At 44.1% G+C, this 3,393-nt stretch overlaps 1 long non-coding RNA gene across 1 annotated transcript; it reads right to left on the bottom strand.

Moving 5' to 3' along the window:
• Positions 1–1,219: 1,219 nt before the first annotated feature.
• On the bottom strand, positions 1,220–2,911 carry LOC124903513 (uncharacterized). Its single transcript, XR_007064689.1, has 2 exons — positions 2,853–2,911; positions 1,220–1,706 (listed from the first exon to the last, which is right to left on the bottom strand). It is a non-coding gene; the product is annotated as an uncharacterized LOC124903513 (long non-coding RNA).
• Positions 2,912–3,393: the final 482 nt, after the last annotated feature.

Genomic DNA, 3,393 nt, shown 5'->3' with positions numbered 1-3,393 from the left:
GATGGCACATTCCTGTAGTCCCAGCTACTCGGGAGACTGAGGTGGGAGGATCACTTGAGCCTGGCAAGTTGAGGCTGCAGTGAGCCGTGATCATGCCACTGCCCTCCAGTCTGGGTGAGAAAATAAAAATAAAAAATAAAAAAATAAAAAACGATTTGCCAGTTCACTGTCTTATAAATTTGAACAGTCACATACCCTTCAGAACTCAACGTTTCTACTCCTAGTTTTATACCCAAAACTGGAAGACACATACAAGAATTTTCAAAGCAATGTTATAATAGCAAAAACCTAAAAAAAAAAAGCACAGTACTGCCCATCAAATGGAGATTGAATCAACAAATTGTGGTAGAATATTTTACAGCAGTCAAAATTGGTGAACTATAGCTACACAATAATATAGGTGAATTTTACCAGTAAACTATTGAATAAAAAGCCTAAGTGAGAGAAGTTAACAGATACCACAATACCATTGTTATAAAGATTATACAGATAAAAACAAAAGCAAATTAAACAATTTACTCCTCAGAAGTGTAGTGGTAAACTGTTTTGCATGTACACACACATATATATGTATATTTTTGTGTACGTGTGTGTGTATTCATATATAATGGTAACCATATTTTTAAGGTAAAGCAATGATGAATACAAGATTCAGGATAATGATGAACTCAACAGGAGGAGGCAGGAAGATGGGATGGGAAAAGCCAGTTAGCAGTGTTCTATTTCTTGCTGTTGGTGGTAGGTTCAAAGGTGACGCATACATAAATGAAAAGATAGACCATGGATACAGCCATGATAAGCATATGCCATGAACCATACAGACATATCCAGGTTGTGTGGATCTCAATCCCGCAGCTTAGACAATTTAGGGGAGATGAGACCTTCTAAGAAAAAAATATACAAATTACAAATTTGTTCAAATTTACAAGACTGTGGACTGGCAAATTGTTTCTTTTTTTTTTATTTTTTGCCACAGGATCTCACTTTCTCACCCAGCCTGAGTGCAGCGGCCTGATCATGGCTCACTGCAGCCTCAACCTGCCAGGCTCAAGTGATCCTCCCACCTCAGTCTCCCGAGTAGCTGGGACTACAGGAATGTGCCACCACGCCTGGCTAATTTTTGTATTTTTTGTAAATACAAAATCAGATATCAAAGTGATCATTATTAAGAATGAGAAATTACACATTTCTAAAATATGACAACATAATCATCACAAAATCCAGAAGAATAACAGTTTTTATTATTAGTAGCAATAGACAGTCTTACACACCTCTATGATACTGACACATTTTTTTCCTATATTTTAACATTTCTGACCCATACTCTGTGATCACCTCTTCATGTAATAATGATTTTATAAAATTACTCTTCCAAAGAAAAGAAAAAGATAATTCGGCCTTCCCTCAGGCATGGGTTTTTAAACTGTGTTTCATGATGGTAGTTTGGAGGAAGCAGCTCCACGACCTGTTACTAATAATGTCACACCTGAAATGTCCTCAGCAGTCTCTTGCTCAGCCGATGCTTTATGCCTAGGGCCACTGTCATCTGCACCTGCTGGACTGGTAGCCCTTGGAGCCAGGTGACCGTTGATAAAAGAAAAACTTCAGCCAAATTAAATTTAAAGGAGTCTAACTGCGCAATTAATGAGTCATGAATCAGCCAGCCTCCTAAGCCAGAGTAGGCTCAGAAGCTCCAGTGCAGTCATCTGGTGGAAGAAGATTTATGGGGAGAAAAAGGAAAGTGACATACAGAAATCAGAAATGAGATAAAGAAATAGCTGAATTGGTTACAGCTCAGGTGTTTGCCTTATTTGAACATGATTCAAAACGTTGGCTACATTTAATTGGCCTAAATGCTGTGACTGGCACAGGCAACGGTCTGGTTACACCTCCACTTGTTATAGTTCATGATGTACAGAAAAAAACTTTAGGTTGAACTTAAAATATGTAAGGAGACAGCTTTAGGCTAAACTTGATTTAACGTCGTGAAGCCTGGGTCATAACAGTATCTCCTTCAGAGTCCTTCCTGTGGCTTTAAAAGCAGGACCCACACATTCAGTGACATCCCTTGGGGGGGTATCAGGGTGCCCTGTGGATATGGGGTGGTGCTGGCATTACCAGGGCAGAGGCTACAGACGCACTGCATGGCTGAACCGCTGCTTCCTCCTGCATGCTCAGCAGAGGATGCCTCAGCCTTGCAGAACCCACCCAAGACGGGGGGCTCTGAAACTGAAACCTCATTAGCTTTGCTGCCAATCACCTCTGGAACCAGGCTTGTGAGTAGCCTGGTCCTGCTCCTCTGAGGTCACTAATAACAAGACCCTAAGTGATGGCATTGGTGGTGGTTGCTGTGTCTCTCTGGGGCACCCGAAGTAGGGCAAACGAACTACAGGTCATGTCACTGAGAGCATGAGGGAAGGCAGGTTCAGTGATCCCAGCCTTGCTTTTTTGAGTCATTTACCCAAATATTGGTGAGCATCTACTACATGCGAGTTTCTGTGCTGGGAACTGAGGTACAATGGACATGATGGGGCTAATCCCTTCCCTGTGGGAGCTTCCTTAAGAGAAGAAGGCATTAGTTTAAGTCTGGGCACACTTGCCTGTCAGAGTTAAGTGTCCCCCGACCTTAGGCCTCCTCTGGCTTCTGCTTTTACTCTATCAAACCCTCAGTGTTCTGTTCCATATGCACACTGGACATGTTGGTTCATTTACTCCCGGATTCCTGGGGCCCAGCACACAGCTGACATCAGCGCATTTGTTGAATGGAGCTGGCTGACCAGAAAAACCCAGGACAGGGAGACTTGGAGGCCATATGATAATGAAGGAAGTTGAACTGGGACTTTAGCACTCACCTTAGGAACCTCCCCAGCCTGTTCTGACTTCTGAAGCCAGCCACACGCAAAGTGGCTCTCTCTCGCTTCCGTCTTCACAGTGTGAGTAGCAGGGAGATCCTGATCTGCTGGCTCTTTCCTGGGGGAGAGGTGGTGGGCGAAAGAAAGAGCATGGCCTGGTGGTTGCGAGCAGACAGTGCTGGATTCAGATCTCTGCTGTACTACTCACTGTCCTGAGGCCTCCCTGAGTCCCACACAGCTACAGGCTCGTTCTCTGCAAATGATGACAGATGCCAGGCGCAGTAGCGTCTCCTGGAGTATCACCTGGGAGGCCGCACAACTAGAAAGTCCACAGGGGCTCAGTACAAGGTCCCAGCCCTACTGGGCACGCAAAGCCTCTCTGCTCTCACGCCTGACCTTGCACTAAGGGTAAGCTCCAGGAGGGCTGGGCTCATCCTTACCCCCACCGTATCCTTAGCATCCAGAACAGGGTCTGGTACAGAGCCAGTACAAGATAAATATTTATCCAAAGATGAAAAGATTACACTGCAGAAATAGAATA

Source organism: Homo sapiens, chromosome 15, assembly GCF_000001405.40.
Source record: "Homo sapiens chromosome 15, GRCh38.p14 Primary Assembly".
NCBI lineage: Eukaryota > Metazoa > Chordata > Mammalia > Primates > Hominidae > Homo > Homo sapiens.
The sequence above is the reverse complement of the archived record's forward strand: the minus strand, read 5'-3'. Positions and strand labels throughout refer to the sequence as shown.